The sequence below is a fragment of the Homo sapiens genome, chromosome 6 (assembly GCF_000001405.40).
Source record: "Homo sapiens chromosome 6, GRCh38.p14 Primary Assembly".
In the NCBI taxonomy this organism is placed as follows: Eukaryota; Metazoa; Chordata; class Mammalia; order Primates; family Hominidae; genus Homo; species Homo sapiens.
The window spans coordinates 25222482-25238529 of record NC_000006.12 but is presented as its reverse complement, the minus strand read 5'-3'; the positions used below and the strand labels follow the sequence as shown (position 1 = coordinate 25238529).

Sequence of the window (16048 nt, the reverse complement as noted above, 5' to 3'; positions counted from 1 at the left end):
ATTATGTTATCAAATATCCAAGGTGATGGGAAAATGTTTATGATGTGTCATTGGGAAAAAATTCAAAACATAAGCAGTATGTATAGCATGATCCCATTTCTGAAAACAGACAATATGATTGAAAGGAAATATACCAAAATATTAGATAGAGTTAAACCTGGGTGGCAGAAGTTTAATTTAATTAAAAAATGCAATACATGATTGCATTTTTCTCTTTCTCCTGTATCATATTTATTATAGTGATTATATGTCACTTTGATAGAAAAAAATTCTATATTTTTAATGCTGTACCTTTTAGTTTTAGGACACAAATAGTTAAAATAGTCACAGTTTCTATATATTTTGAAGGATGTACATAGATACATATATTTATATTTCTTTCTCAGTCTACACATAAGTAGACTGGCCACCATTACCAAAAATTGTTATATACATTATTTAGAAGTAGTTATATGTGCTGGTGCTTGTATTTCTAATTATTCTTTCAATATTTTTTCACTATAGTAATGTTTTTCATTTTTCAGTAGTGCTTTGAGATGCTTTAACATTGTTTTTCTATTAGATGTGGTGTTGCTACAGGTATCAATTCATTCTGAGAGAGAAATACTTTCTACCCAGCTTGTCTTCTATAACATTATAGGCCTCCTTGGCACGACTCATCAATTCCTTACTATGACTCGAACTCAAAGATCATTTTAGGAGATTTCATTTAAAAAAAGTCTTTACCCTGGATACAATAATTGTGTTGACTCCAATAAACAGAGCTTTCTTTTTACAAGGCCATGTATCAGTGCTGCTTGACAGTGGAATTTTCAGTGAAGGCTTCCTCTTGTAAATTGAAAGCATATGCTTGTACATTAAGAGCACACTATTCCAGCGCACTCACCTGACTCCACCATAAGTAGACCAGGTGAGATCATGAAGAACATTTTAGCTGTTCTAAAGAGCTATAAAATAGATTTACTTATGTTCCAAATTGTCTCAAAGATATTTTAGTTGATTCGTGCCTTCCTTCCTTCCTCCTTGATTAGTTCAGTTCAAAGTCATTAAGAAGGGCAGAGTGAGGTAGGTCTTGGGCAGGAGTGGCAGCAGCCCAGTCTGAGGGATTGCAGCCCCAGTGGAGTGAGGAGGGCATCTGTGTCTGGGTTTGGGTGTATCAGTAGCAACCCAGAATTGGGTTTTTAAGCCAAAGAGGGGTGAGAAGAGCACCCATATGGGGGGGAGGGCAGTGACAGGGAGCTCACACAGGATGTCAGAGACCAAGTGGAGTGAGGAGGTCACCCATATGCATATGAGATTGAGGGATTGTGGTGGCAGCACCAATGGGAGATGAGTAGTTTATAGGCAATGGGGAGGGGAAATTAGCCAGTAAGTGAATATACTGAGGATAAAGGAAGCCTGATTTCTCACTGTCAGAGAAGAAAGGTATAAATATGAAAAGGGAGTAAACTAGAATGAACCTGTGTTATCGGATTCAAACTAGAGGTATCAGTGTAAACTCATGATTTTCAAAATATATTTGGATATATAGATATAGAAATAAAGATGTCAATATGTATTCATGTATACAGTCCAGCCCTCTACACTCATGGGTTCTGCATCTGTGGATTAAAGATATTTTTAAAAAATGGATGGCTGCCTCTGTACTGAATACATACAGACTCTTTTCTTTGTCATTATTCCCAAAACAGTACAGTTTAACTAACAACTATTTACAAAGCATTTACACTGTTTACTAGTTTGTTCTCACACTGCTATGAGGAAATACCTGAGACTGGGTAATTTATAAAGAAAAGAGGCTAACTGGCTCACGGTTCCATAGGCCCATGATTCCGTACAGGTATGGTGACATCAGCTTTTGGGGAGGCCTCAGGAAACTTATGATCATGGTGGAGGGCAAAGGGAGAGCAAATACTTCACCTGGCCAGAGTAGGAGGAAGAGACAGTGGGGAGGTGCAGTCTATACACTTTAAACAAACAGATCTCATAGTAACTCACTTAGTACCTATCATGAGAACAGCACTGAGGGGATTGTGCTAAGCCATTCACGAAGGACCACCCCTATGATCACGTTCACCTCTCACGAGGCCCCACCTCCAACGCTGGGGATTACAATTCGACATTAAATTTGATGGGGACACAGAACCAAATCATATCACACCATATTAGGTATTATAAGTAATCTAGGGTATACAGGAGGATGTGTGTAGGTTATATGCAGACACTATGCCATTTTATATAAGAATCTTGAGCATCCATGGATTTTGGTATCTGGGGAGGGGTCCTGGAACCAAGGCCCCACAGATACTGAGGGATGAATCTATATGTAGATACATACATATATTCCTCAGCTCTGTCCACTGAGAGGGCCTAGGAGTATCTGCAACACTCCAATAGCCGTGAGCACACCAGGTACCCAGATATAGGTATTTAAATATCACACTCCATTAAAAGGAACCAGGGCTTTCTAGAGAAATGGCTGATCTCAAGACAGTCACAGGGAAAGTGATCCTGGAACATCTTGTGCCAGAAAGTGAGAAAGTGAGCAAAGAATGATGGGATCAAGTCAAAAGGACATGGGAGTGAGTTAGGTTTAATGAGGTTTTCATTGGTGAAATCTGGGACAATTTAGCTTCAAAATAAATAATGACAGTAACAGATTATATCCCATTGCATAAACTAGTAACCTACAAGTCCATACTAATATAAATAAATACATGGGGAGAAGAAAAGGTTTCTTTCCCTTGCAGTAGGATTCCAACTAATAAATAGAAGGAATGTAGGAATTAGGAAATCACCATTTGGCAACCACCAAAGTAATAATTGAGCTAAGAAATATCAATGGATGATAAAACTGGTAGGTAAAATTTTGATATCAACATAGTCTCAGCACACGTATTCCACCATTGAGAATGAACTCCTGTTGGGGGGGCCCACTGTGGCTAACAGTAAAAGCATATTTATGTGTGCCTGCAGCGTTACTGGTTGGTCATATGAAATTTCCTAGTAGCCAAAAAAAGCAAAAGAAATAGTTAAATTTAATAGTATATTTCATTTAATCCAGTTGTATCTAAAGTATCATCATTCCCACACATAATCAATGTGAAAATTGTTAGTGAAATATTTATATTCCTTTGTTATACAACGTATTCAAAATCTGGTGATATTTTATATTTAGAGCGCATCTCACTTCCAACTAGTCACATTTTAAGTGCTGGGGAGCCATGTGTGGCTAGTGGCTACCTTATTGAACTGTATAGCTCTAAGGTCTTCAGAGTCTGTTCACAGGAGCAAAGGGGATCTTGGCAACTCTTTTCTGGGTAGTGTCAGCATTTTCTGTGCATCTTGATGTCACTGAGGGTTAAGAGAAGACTTCCCTCATGGTCTTTCTTAAGCTCTTTAAAGCAGGGATTCTTTCCCTAGGGCCTTAGGTACACATTCACTGGCAGCTCCCGGAGCTTAAAGGAACACATCAGAAACATTGTCTAGGATTGGGAGGAAGTAGTTATAGTCCATCCTCGTGGGTTAGACAGAGCATTGTGAATTGGATTTCGGCAAAGCCGTGAGATTATCTAAAGGAATTTTGGTAAAAAAGCAGTAGCAAAATACAAAATTTCATGATAGAAAAACAAGAAACAGATGAATGTGGCATGGAAGAGAGAGTCTGGTAGTTTTGGGAACACAGTTGGATCAGGTTCCAAGGGATGAGGTAGACCTAGAAAATTTTGTTGCTCAGGAACATTTGGAACAGAAATGTTGAATCTGGAGTTCACGTTCTCTTAGAAGGGCCAGAAATGGGCTTCAGGGGCCTATAGATCTCCTGAAACTATAAGCAAAATGTTGTGTTACATGCATGTTAGGGGGTGATAGATTTTCAAAGGAGAGCATTACCCACAAATGACTGAGAATCCTGCCTTATGGATTATATGACCCTTATTAACTTCAATAGGGATGGCACCAGGTTCACAAGACTGAAGAAGAGACATGGAGCCAGCAGGTGAAACATAGAATTTATTTGGGAACTTACAGGGCAGTCCAGTGGCAGTGGGCTGGTCAGAAGAACAACCATCACTTTAAAAAAGCGTGCTGTTTATATAGCATTTTTCCTTAACACTCCTTCCCCCAACCCCACCTCCTTCCACACAACCTCCACATGGCAACCCTCATATCATAAGTGAAATTATGCTGTCAGGTGCATCTGCCATACAGAGTATGCTTAAGTTAAATTATTGCTGTCAGGTGCATCTGCCATACATAGGGCCACCAGGTAGAAAGTTAAAAATGAGAATTCTCAGCCAGGTGTGGTAGCTTATGCTTATAATCCCAGCACTTTGGGAGGCTGTAGGTGGGAGGATCACTTGAGCCTAGGAGTTCAAGGCCAGCCTATACAACAAGGTGAAACCCCTGTCTCTATTTAAAAAAAAATTTTTTTAAACAGTGAGAACTGTCACTTGTTCAAAGCCAGGAGAGACCTCGGGCCTCTGAATCAAATCTCACTCTTCAGTGGAAAAAAATGAAATACAGAGATGTCGAGTTACTGGGCCAAGCAAGGCTTTTCACTGACAACGTAGTGACTGACATACAGAAATACAATATTTAGGGACACTAGAGGACCTCTAAGACTCAGAAAAATTAGGCATTCTGGACCACAGAAAAACCCACTTAAAGAATTCTTGAAATCTTTGATCATCCCGAGTGGATGTGATCTTTCTTTCTTTGCTCTGCCAGAGCACCTGGTTTGTATCACACAGAGAGCACCACACTAATAACACTCAGAGTTTCTCACCTTGGCGCTGTTGACATTTCATGTAGGATAATTCTTCGTTGTCGGGGGGCTGCTCTGTGCATTGTGGGATGTTTAGCAGCATCCGTGGTCTCTACCCACTAGATGCCATTAGCACCATTTCCATCACTGTACCCACAGTTGTGACAATGATAATTGCATTTAGACACTGCCAAATGGGGGAGAAGGGGGAACAAAATCACTCCTGATTAAGTTCCACTGCCTTATACCAAAGCTATTTTAACATATCTCAGAATTCTAATTGAATCTTGCATTGGCACAGGCCACGCCTCACACAGCTTGAAGCAATCACAGTATGTGTAATATGTTGGATAAATAAATGTTCAGTTTTTGTGTTCATGGATTCTGCATGCCACATAAGCTATTTCCAAATAAACAATGGGTGAATGGTTTCAAAAGAGAAGAAAATCAAAAAGGAAACATTTCATTCCACTTGCTCTTTTAGGAGCTCCTGAGTTCTGCATCAGAAACAAGTTGAGCCTTGTATTTTCTTTTTTGAGCAGTAAAATACAGGTTGTCATCTTCTCCTGCACGATACGGAAGAATACAATTAGAATATTACTCAAATGAAGTTTTCCTTTAGCTTCACACAATGCACTCCATTTAGAATTCGTTCACAAAGAGAACATTTCCCCCTACTTCCTTCATATTCTTTTAACAGGGAGTTTTTAAAAGGTCCAACACTCAAAATTAAAAAAAAAAATGTATCCCTCTTAATTGTTACCTCTGAAAATAAGCACGGTGGAAAATAATTTTTAAAAACCTACTTTCCAAAAAAAATTAAACTGTGCTCTTATGAAGTATTTCAACTCAAGTCGACGAGCCCAAAGATCTTTCTTTAACACCTCCTCCCCACAGTGCTTTATATTGTGTGGTTCTTATGGTAGACATATACGCAAAGAATATAAATAGAGAGGAAATACATTTCAAGCCAAATCTTAGATGTAGGCAAATCAACTCCACATGATTTCAATCTTGGAGTCTTAACCAGATGGAAATGGTTTCCCAGGAGACAGAGCTGCGGGGCAGGGGCTAGAAGCAGCAGCCTGGACGTGCACCAATGATTACGCACGGGCTGCGTATAAAAAGTCCCCGAGGGAAGGAAAGCCGAAACTCCATCCTGAGGGATGCTGCGGCGAGAGAATCTCCAACTCATGGAGGCTGAGCTTCTGCGGGAGAGGCCACAGCCTGAAGAAGAGGTGGGATCGGAAATAAACCCGCCTGGGAGACCTGCAGGCACCAGCAGGTCATTCTCATTTGTTTATTATATTTAATAAGCGTTTTAGTTTGGAATGATCTGAAATGATTTAAAATTGCAAAGCGAGCGAGTTCAGAGAGTTCCCTTATACCTCTCACCCAGTTTCCCTCATTGTTAATATCTTACATTATCATGGAATATTTGCCAAAGCTAAAACATTGACATTGGCATTGTATTAATTTATGAGACACGGTTTTGCTCTGTCGCCCAGGCTGGAGTGCAGTGGCACGATCTCGGCTCACTGCAACCTCTGCCTCCCGGGTTCAAGCGATTTTCCTGCCTCAGCCTCCTGAGGCAGCTACTCAGGCTACCACTACAGACGCATACCACCATGCCTGGCTAATTTTTGTATTTTCAGTAGAGATGGGATTTCCACATGGTGGCCAGGCTGCTCTTGAACTCCAGGGCTCAAGCAGTCCTCCCACCTCAGCCTCCCAAAGTGCTGGGATTACAGGGGTGAGCCACCGTGCCTGGCCGGCATATTATTATTTATTTTTAAAGAGTTAAACGATTTCCTTTAATAGAAAAACATTCAACACGTTTGTTCGAAGTTTCATATGTTTGGGGTGTAAGCTAGTGGTTCTTAAGAGCATAGAAAAATTCTTCCTGAGGGCAGTTTATTAGATGCTCCTGTTGCTTCCATGCTAAAGAACAAACCCCACAGGAAGGCCTGTTTCCCAACATTTGGAGTAGTTCTTTGTCTCCCAAAATTCCAGTTATAACACCTGTAAGGGTATGTGGCATTTCAGAGGGAGTTTGCTGCTTGTAAGATAGCAGGGTGGGAAGGGGAATTTCCCTAGGACTTTGCCTGTGGTTTTCCTTGGGGTGCCAGGTTAAAATCTGAAGAATGGAGGGTCTCGGGGCCTCCATCTGGCCATGCCACAGGGGCTTGTGGCAGCCCACTTTCTTCCCTCTTCAGAAAAATCCTGGGCTTGGCTCAAGGAGGCAGATGTCATCTGGTCCTCAAAGACCAATTGTGCAGCTGATGGAGCCCCTGGGGTAGGATCCAGGTTGGAGGCTACCCCACCCCTTGTAGAAGGGCAAAAATCTCAGATCTCAATGACTTATTTTAGTGAGAATTCCCTCTTTTATTAGTATTTGCTATAAAAAATAAGCTCCACCCACACTTGTGTGTCTAAGAATCACCCAGGGAAGTTGCTGACAGGCAGATGCCTAAACCCAGATTTGGTGGGTCTGGGTTAGGTCCTGGAGATGTGTGTTTCTAACAAGCATCCCAGATGATTCTGATTCAAATAGATGGCACTTAAGTCAGATACACTGTTTAATTAGTCTGCTTATTCTAGATTAACTACTAGAATTTGGATTTCTGTCAGCTGGGGGTATCTTTTTAGCATTCTCCAGAGGGGCTCTTTAATTCAGAATGTTATGCATCTTGTTTTGTTGTCATTCATTGACAGTAAGTGAAAACATATAATGTGAGAACTAAGTAAAATTTGCTAAACACTTAAGCATGAATGTATATGTCACAACTTATAGACAGTGTCATTCCAGTGATAAATCTCCATTTTTCTCTCTCACGTGCAGCCAAGTTGTAGTGTCTGATTCTCATAGTCGGTACCTATGCAAGGAATATAAATAGAGAGGGAAAGCATTTCACGCCAAATCTTAATGTAGGCAAATCATCTGCTCTGGGTCTTGTTCCCTTCAGGGACCTGGCTCCTGGCTTTTTGCTGGTTTTCCAGGATCTATGTTGTCTATTTATCATTTTATATACTGTAGGTGAGCCTGTCCTAAAATAATCATCCTTTTGAGTTTTCTAATATCAATTGCCACTTTTCACTTTAGTATTCAGAGACTCAAATCTGGGACCCCGTTCTGAGTGACAGCAAGTGCGTGGACACACACATTCTTGAAGATACTGCTTTTCACTTCACATTGTTCTACTCAGCGTCTCCACTGCTCCCAGCGTCTCTGCTGTGCCTCTTCTGGACATATAGAAGTGATGTATTCTTCATAGTCTAAGAGCCCCAGCAATATTTATAGCAATCTTTAATTTCCACTTAGTAAGTATTTTGAACTTATGAAATTCCTGTAAGTGAATTTTAGGTCATGCCACGTGTACTCCACCTTCTGAAGTCTGCCCGTGATGACCTTCTTTCAGGTACAATAGGTACAATTTGTCTAGTGTAGATTGTCTAATCTTGATTAATATAGATTTTCTTCAGTTCAGAAATACAATTTAAATGCCATTAAAAACTTAATTTTTGACTGACTTTTCTTGTGTTTCTTATTTAATAGAAAGCCTCAATTTCTAGTAAAGCCATCCAGTCTTTCAGTTACTCAGTGTGCTGGCCTGTGGAAACTGAAGAACTATAAATATGCTCCAATTCACATCAGTCTGGTGTTTCTGAAGTTGCCCTGTTTCTACGTTTCAAATCCCATGTGGTTTTTTTCATTTAGAATATAATTCCAGATACCAATTATTTTATCTGATTTCATAAATCCCAGTAACTTCTTTTTCTGTCTATTTGGCCTGTTTCTTCCTTCATTCCAGACATAGTTATCTAATGACTTAGTTATCTAATGACCACAGGGTGTGGTTTTACAATCAAGTCCAGTTCTTGCATCTGTGCCTGAGTTTGGGGGCCTGTAGGACTTGCAATTTTAATTGGTGGCAAGGAAGTATGCAGTTCATGCATGTGGCTTGAATAATAAGATTTTGCTCTCCTTTTTCTCATATAATATCTAAGTAACTGTCTTTCTTGCTATTGTAGCTTTCTCCAGGCCAATCTGTCACTCTGTGGTTTCTGGTTTTGCTCTTCATTCTCCCAAGAATCACTGTAGCATTTAAGAAACTTTACTGAAGACTTGAAAATAAGGTCAAAGACCTGCAATGCAGAAAGGAAAGTCTGTGCCTGAGTTGTCCTCAGATCCCATTGCTCCTGAAACCTTTCAGTCATGGCCTTTTCATAGGACGATCCCTGGTCATCCTTCTACCCACCTTCTCCCACTCCCACCAGTGTCTCCAAGTTACTGGCTGTCTTAGTTTGTTTCAGCTGCTGTACCAAAAATACCATAAGCTAGGTGGCTTGTAAACAACTTTTACTCCTCACAGTGCTGGAGGCTGGGAAGTCCAAGATCAGGGCACTGATGAATTCAGTGTCTAGTGAGGGCCTGCTTCCTGGTTTGTAGACAGCCATCATCTTGCTGTGTTCTCCAATGGGAGAAGGGACAAGGCAACTCTCTGGGATCTCTTGTAAGAAGGATACTGATTCCACTCATGATAGTTCTGCCCTAATGACCTAACCATCTCCCAAAAGCCCCACCTCCTAATACATCACCCTGGTAGTTAGGTTTCAACGTAAGAATTTTGAGGGGACATTCAGACCATAGCACTGGGTCGGCCTCCCACTTGAACAAACAGTTCCCTTGACTCTCTCCATCATAAAGCCCACAACTCCATCATTATTTCTTAGCTATAGCCGTAGGAGAATTGGAGTTAAGCTCACGATAATCTCTAGGCACAGGGCCAGAATGAGAGTAAGGCAATGATGCATGAGGCCACAAGTTTTAACGGAACACCAAAAGAGTTAACAATTAAGAGCAATAATATGTTAATGCAATATTTTAAAAATTAAAATTAATGCTAAAATCGATAATAAAATAGCAATAGTTTAAATAAAAACAGGCTGTTTGTTTTGCAACTCTGCATTTTTGTGCAATAAAGCATAGTTGTTGATTAGCTCAAGGTTCCTGAGCCCACAGAGCTAGGCGGGTTGATAAGGGGTGATGATGGTGTGTGAACAGATTGGACAATATAATGCTTTATATTTAGTCATATTTTTGAATGGCAGAACTTTTACTTTTTCTATTTGGTTCAAAATATGGGGGAGGGTACTTTGTGTGTATGTGTGTGTGTATATATATATACACACAAGATTTTGCTCTCCTTTTTCTCATATAATATCTAAGTAACTGTCTTTCTTGCTATTGTGTGTGTGTATATATATATATATAGCTACTATATATATATACAGCTACTATATATATGTGTATATATATATATAGCTACTATATATATGTGTGTGTGTGTGTGTGTATATATATATATATATATATATATATATATATACAGGGGTACATATTTATCCTTTTGCCTCAGGCTCCAACATGACATTGCACACCAGTGTTCTATCCACAATGAGAGGAGGTTTTTATATTATCATCAGAGCAGGATTCTGGGCCTGTTATGCACAATTAAAATCTATTAGTGTCCCCTCCACCTGCAAAAGAAGTCTTCCCCCAAAATGGAGTCTGCCACCTTTATAGTAATATAAATTATGCAGCTTTTCAAAAATTGTGAAAAACACATATTTACAATCTTAACCATTTCTAAGTGTAATGTGTAATGTTAAGTACATTCACATTATTGTGCAACCAATCTCCAGAATACTTTTCATCTTACAAAACTGAAACTGCCCACCAAACAACTCCCCATTCTCTCATCCCCACAACCATTCTACTTGGCACTGGCAATACCATTCTACTTTCTATCTCTATGAATTTGACTACTTTAGGATGCTCACATAAGTGGAGTCATACAGTGTTTGCCCTTTGACTGGCTTATTTAACTTAGCATAATGGCTTCAAGGTTCATCCATGTTGCAGCAAGTATCAGAATTTCTTTCCTTTTCAAGGTTGAATAATCCATTGTATATACCATATTTTGTTCATTCCTCCATCAATGGACATTTGGGTGGTTTACACCTTTTGGCAATCGTGAATAGTGCTACTAGGAACACAGGTGTACAAATATCTCTTCACTGGCAGCTTTTGAAGATCACAGAATCATATCTCACAAAATCCATTCCACCAATGATTACTTGTGAATTGGATTTCTGCTCTGCACTCTTTGTGGTAAGAGGAATTTTCTGCAAGCTTCTGGCTCTTTGGTGGCAAAAGCCATTCCTAGATTGAAGTGCAGAAGTCATTAGAATCTTTAACACTCCACCTGACTTGCAACTGTGGTTACTCTTTAATCATTTCTTGCCCACTTCCATGAAGGCTACACTTTCCTATACAACATCATATTTAATCTTTCTTTATAACAAATCTGTGACATTGATGTTATAATTCCCATTTTATAGTCAAAGAAACTGAGTCTCAGGGAAGATAAGTGACTTACCTAGTTAATAACCCATTGGGACCTAACATATAAGGATCTAGTAAGTACAAATAAGCTAGCACTGTCCACATAGACTGTGAGTTTTGCTAAATCTATAAATCTTTCTATTTGAGCAAAATAAATGTAAGAAGTTTTCAGAATTCATAACTCTACTTACCAATTTCCAAAAGGGGCAGTTTCCAAATTATTTTATATAGAAGGAGATGCTACAGCCTTCCTTAGGCACTCAATCTAGTGACCTATGACTAACATACCTCTGGGAGGAAAAAATCATCTTAATACAGATTAGTTTAATAAGACAATAAGACAGCCTGATACAGAAATTAAAACTAGGGTATGGAGGTTAAAGTTTGGCATATTGGCTTCTGCACTGACAGACATTTTACTTTCATGCTATTCTGATGGTCCTTGCCTAATGACCACAGAGCGTGTGTGTGTGTGTGTGTGTGTGTGTGTGTGTGTGTGTGTGTATGTATGTATGTATGTGTCTGTCTGTCTATCAGTGCTATCTAACAGTTTTCTGCAATGATGGAAATACTTTTTGATTGTCCAATGAAGTAGCCACTAGTCACATGTGGCAACTGAGCACTTGAGTGGTGACTAGTATAAAAGGGAAAATCAAATTTTTAATTTTATTTAATTAATTTATATTTAAACAACCACATGTAGTTATAACAACAGAATATTGGACAACGTGGGGGCTATAGAATGGGTGTAACAATGTTGTATTTCAGTTCTTCTACCAGTTCTTCGGATTCGTTTTCTTGAACAGAGTCCAAGATGGAATATTTTACCATGAATTCTGGGTTGGAATAGGTAGGATTACAGTGAAACTCTAGCATTTAGTCACATGAATAAAAGCTGAATGAGGACAAAGCATTTCAAAGAAGGATCATATGTCTACAGAGAAAGATAATCTGGCCCAATAAACCAGGTAAATTGTGTGTTTTGGAACGCTCTAGTGTATTTTATTGCTAACGCCCATTTAGTGAATGGATTGATTTTCCTGTTAGAATGTAGTGGGAACATAATCTGAATGCCTTTGACTCTGAAGCCTACTGCAGCTAACAAGAACATCATTTGTATTTCATTGGCCCAGACAGATTATGATTAATGGTTGGATGAACACATTTTCAGTTGAATTTATGTAGCACAGTGCTTCCCATAATTTTTTTCCTGTCAAGGAACTATTTTATGTTAAATTACACAAATATAGTTTTATTTTTATAACATTACTTCCTTCTATCTCTGAACACCTGCACCTTCTCTCACAATGTTAACCTCTCTCTTTGTATTGCAATTTGGCTTCTGTATCTACTCTGTTCTTTTTTCCCACCTTCCCCCGCCCCCTGAGACAAAGTCTCACTCTGTGGCCCAGGCTGGAGTGCAGTGGTGCAATCTTGGCTCACTGCAGCCCCGACCTCCCAAGCTCAAGTGATCCTCCCACCTCAGCCTTTGGGTTGCTGGGACCACAGATGCACACCACCATGCCTAGCTAATTTCTTGTATTTTTAGTGGAGACAAGATTTCGCTATTTTGCCCAGGCTGGTCTTGAACTCCTGGGCTCAAGCAATTCTTCTGCCTCAGCTCCCTAAAGTGCTAGGATTGCTGGTGTGAGCCACCATACCCAGCTTGTTTCTTTTATTCTCAGAATATTCTTAATATTCTCAAGAACATTCTTGGCCTCCCTTCCCTGCCATTTATAATGTTTCCTCCCTTGGTTTCTTTATTTTCCTTCATTCACACTCTGATTGCACCATTCAGTTTGACTCAATTGTAGTCAAATTCAACTCACAGGCTTGTTAACCCTAGTTTGGTGAACATCATAAGTCTTTCAGATGCTGGTTGGAAATGCACCTCCTCAATCCCTAACACTGACATTTAAGCAGCAGAAAGAAGAGGAGCAGCCCATGGTGAAGGCAACTGGAAAGGTCAGAGACCCAAGGAGAGATAAGATGAAAGTTATCAGTGGTGCCTAATGAAGAAGAACTGTTCTGTGAGACAAGGACTGAGAATGTTCCTCATGAGGACATCATTGATGACCTTGGTGAGAACAGTCAGCAGAAGTTTGAGAAATTATTGGGAGGTGCTGAAGCTGCCACAAGTACAGACCAAGCTTCTGAGAGAGTTGGATGATGACAGAAGGAGAAAGTGAAAAAGGGCTCAGGGTAGAGAGGCTTTTGTTTAGGATGGGAGAAGCTAGAGCAAGCCAATGTCAGCTGGGGCCTCCCTGGCTCTGTGAGATGTTGGTCCATCTTTGTAAACCTGGTCCAAAGCCACAGTCCAAGATTCCTTTTATGATTTCCCTAAATTTCTGAGGCTTGCTCCCTCATGCTTCTCTTTGTGTCCCCTGCCACATCTGTACCTGTGGTTTCAGATCCATCTTGTGGCACCACAGTGCGAATCTCAGCCTTCTCGCCAGTTTCTACACAAACACTCATGTTAATGGTAATCTATTGAGTTAACAATTTAACAAGGAACTTTAAGGTAGTTTGGAGGTGCTCCTGGAGAGGGGTTATACGCCCAACCACACTGCCCTCTGCCATCCTGCTGGCTCCTCCTCCGTTTTTCCCAACTTCCTCCTCCTTTAGAGCAAGGAATTACTTTTCTTGTCTAGAACTGAGTGATCAACCCAGAGTCAAGGTCTCGCCTTCAACCTCAATGGGCTTATCCATGAATTTTTCTAAGAAATCTCCAAAAGGAATTTTCATGCCATTTGCTAAGAGAATTCGATTCTCCTCTAATATGTCCTCTTGTCATATTAGCATTCGGGGGTGGGGGCGGGGCAAACAGTTTATGTAGACACAGAAATTGATGCATGTGGTGAAATGCTGGGAGACACCTGGAGGGGAGAGGAGGGCAGCTGTTCTATTTCTTGTGATTGGTGGGACAGGAAGCAAGAATGAGTGAAAATGAAGATAAACCTGTATGGGGGCAGGATGTGTATGGGGGTGGGATGGAAGAGTGAAGATTTGAGGGTTTGTGGGCTCAGTAGTCTCTGTGGGGGCAAGATCACTTGCTGACAGGGGATGGACAGAACTGAAGGTATGAGATTCTCGCTATAGAGAGGAGTGAGGGAAGGAGAAGGGATGAGGGGAGAGATGCTGTTTTTAGATAAGGAGAAGTATTGACAAGATGAATGGAGTATTCTTCTGAAATCGGAAAGTATACCTTTGTGAAGATACCAGTTCCCACGGTTGTACTTCTCTCTAGAAGCCCCAAATCACTAAGATATAGAAGCAGAGAAGGGGGATTTCAGGATTAATCTGGGGTTGGAGCTTGCAGAGCAGGACAGTGTGAGTTCTAGTGCTTTATTCTGAAGTCCTGGTGAAAAAGGGAAAATTGAGTAGGAAGAAGCCTGCCCATTAGCACTGGGTTGACATTCAGCTCCACTCTGGACCATGTTACCTTGGTGATAATGAAAGTGGAAGGAGGGATGCTTTTCTGCCAATTTTATCTAAGCGTCTTGGGCAGTTTTAATTTAAACGTATGATACTACCTCCATTTTTTCCTGGTATGATTCCTTTCATTTAATTAGGCTCTATTGGTGGAAAGTAGTTGATCTTTGATGACGTTGTTATCTCCTGAACATTATTATATCTCCCGCTCTGGTTTACAGGTTTTTCCTGACTCTTCTCTTCTGCATTACAGCTCAGGACTGCCACCCAGTGGCCTGTTAGCATAGAGCTCTGGAAATGCTGATTTTTTTCTTTAATACAGCCACAGAATAAGACAATAAGAAAATATTTGCTTCCTTGTTGGGGAAAGTAAAATGCAGAACTTCCTATTTACCAGCCAAACAAAAGAAGAATGCATTCTCTCAGGACCTCAGGGACTGTCAGAAAATAAGAAAAGCTTTTTTGACCTTAGTAACCTTTGACATGGTTCTCTGAGACCAAGTGTGTTTAGCCAGGAATTTATACTAAACAGGGAATGGAATGAAAGCAGGATCAGGATTTTGAAGAAAAATACCTCTCAAATTGGGGAGAGTTAGGCAAAGAGATTCTGAATGTAAAGTCATTTGGGGAAGACATAGGCCCTTGGATAAAGCATACTTTTTTTGTTTTCCTATTTTACTTTCTTCCTCACCCTTTAACACATGGAAGATGGGTCCCTGTGTCCTCCAGGTCTGATAGGAGTTGTCAGACTGCCGTTGTTTGAGTTACTTTATTTATTTGGAATTTCTGGATGTGAGAAGCTATGGAAGCCAAGTTCAGATTCAGCCATTCTAATTCTCTTATAAGATATCCTCTGTGAAACAGTGGTGTACATTTCAGTTTTGTTTTTGTAAAAATTGAGTATCAAAATTTTAAAATCCTACATGTTTTATTATCAAAAGATCACTTACAGGCATAAACTCTAGTATAATTTTTAATTTTTTGAATTGTAGATTGTCTTTTTCTTTTTTATCATAGACACTCTGAAAGCTAATTGGGATGACAGAGAAGAAAAAGAGAAAAGAAAGAATCTCGAATAAGAGGCCCAGTGGCCTCACTAGAAGGATGAGAAGATAAGACTTGCTCTAGAGGAGGAAAAATGGCAGCTTCCTTGCCCACTAAGGGGAGACACAGAGACCCTTGAATGCAATGTAGAGTGTCCTTCCTTAGCCCTTATAGCGGTTCTTCAAAGTTGCAACTGTTCCTACAAATGTTATTTACAGCCTGGGACTTCATTAAGCCAGAATATTTCCCTGAACACTACTAGAGATGTGCTCTGTAATATTAGCAAGGTCTTGCTGATACCAAGGGAGGGAAAGTAGGTGAATATCTGTGCATGGCTCTGGAGGCATACCTAGGGCAGTGTGGGTGGAGTGCCAGGCTCTGTTAAGGATTCCCAGTGG

General features: G+C 40.2%; 1 long non-coding RNA gene across 1 annotated transcript; it reads left to right on the top strand.

Annotated features, from left to right (window-relative positions):
• Positions 1 to 5913: 5913 nt before the first annotated feature.
• On the top strand, positions 5914 to 8295 carry LOC124901283 (uncharacterized). The gene is made up of 2 exons (XR_007059516.1): positions 5914 to 6050; positions 7869 to 8295. It is a non-coding gene; the product is annotated as an uncharacterized LOC124901283 (long non-coding RNA).
• Positions 8296 to 16048: the final 7753 nt, after the last annotated feature.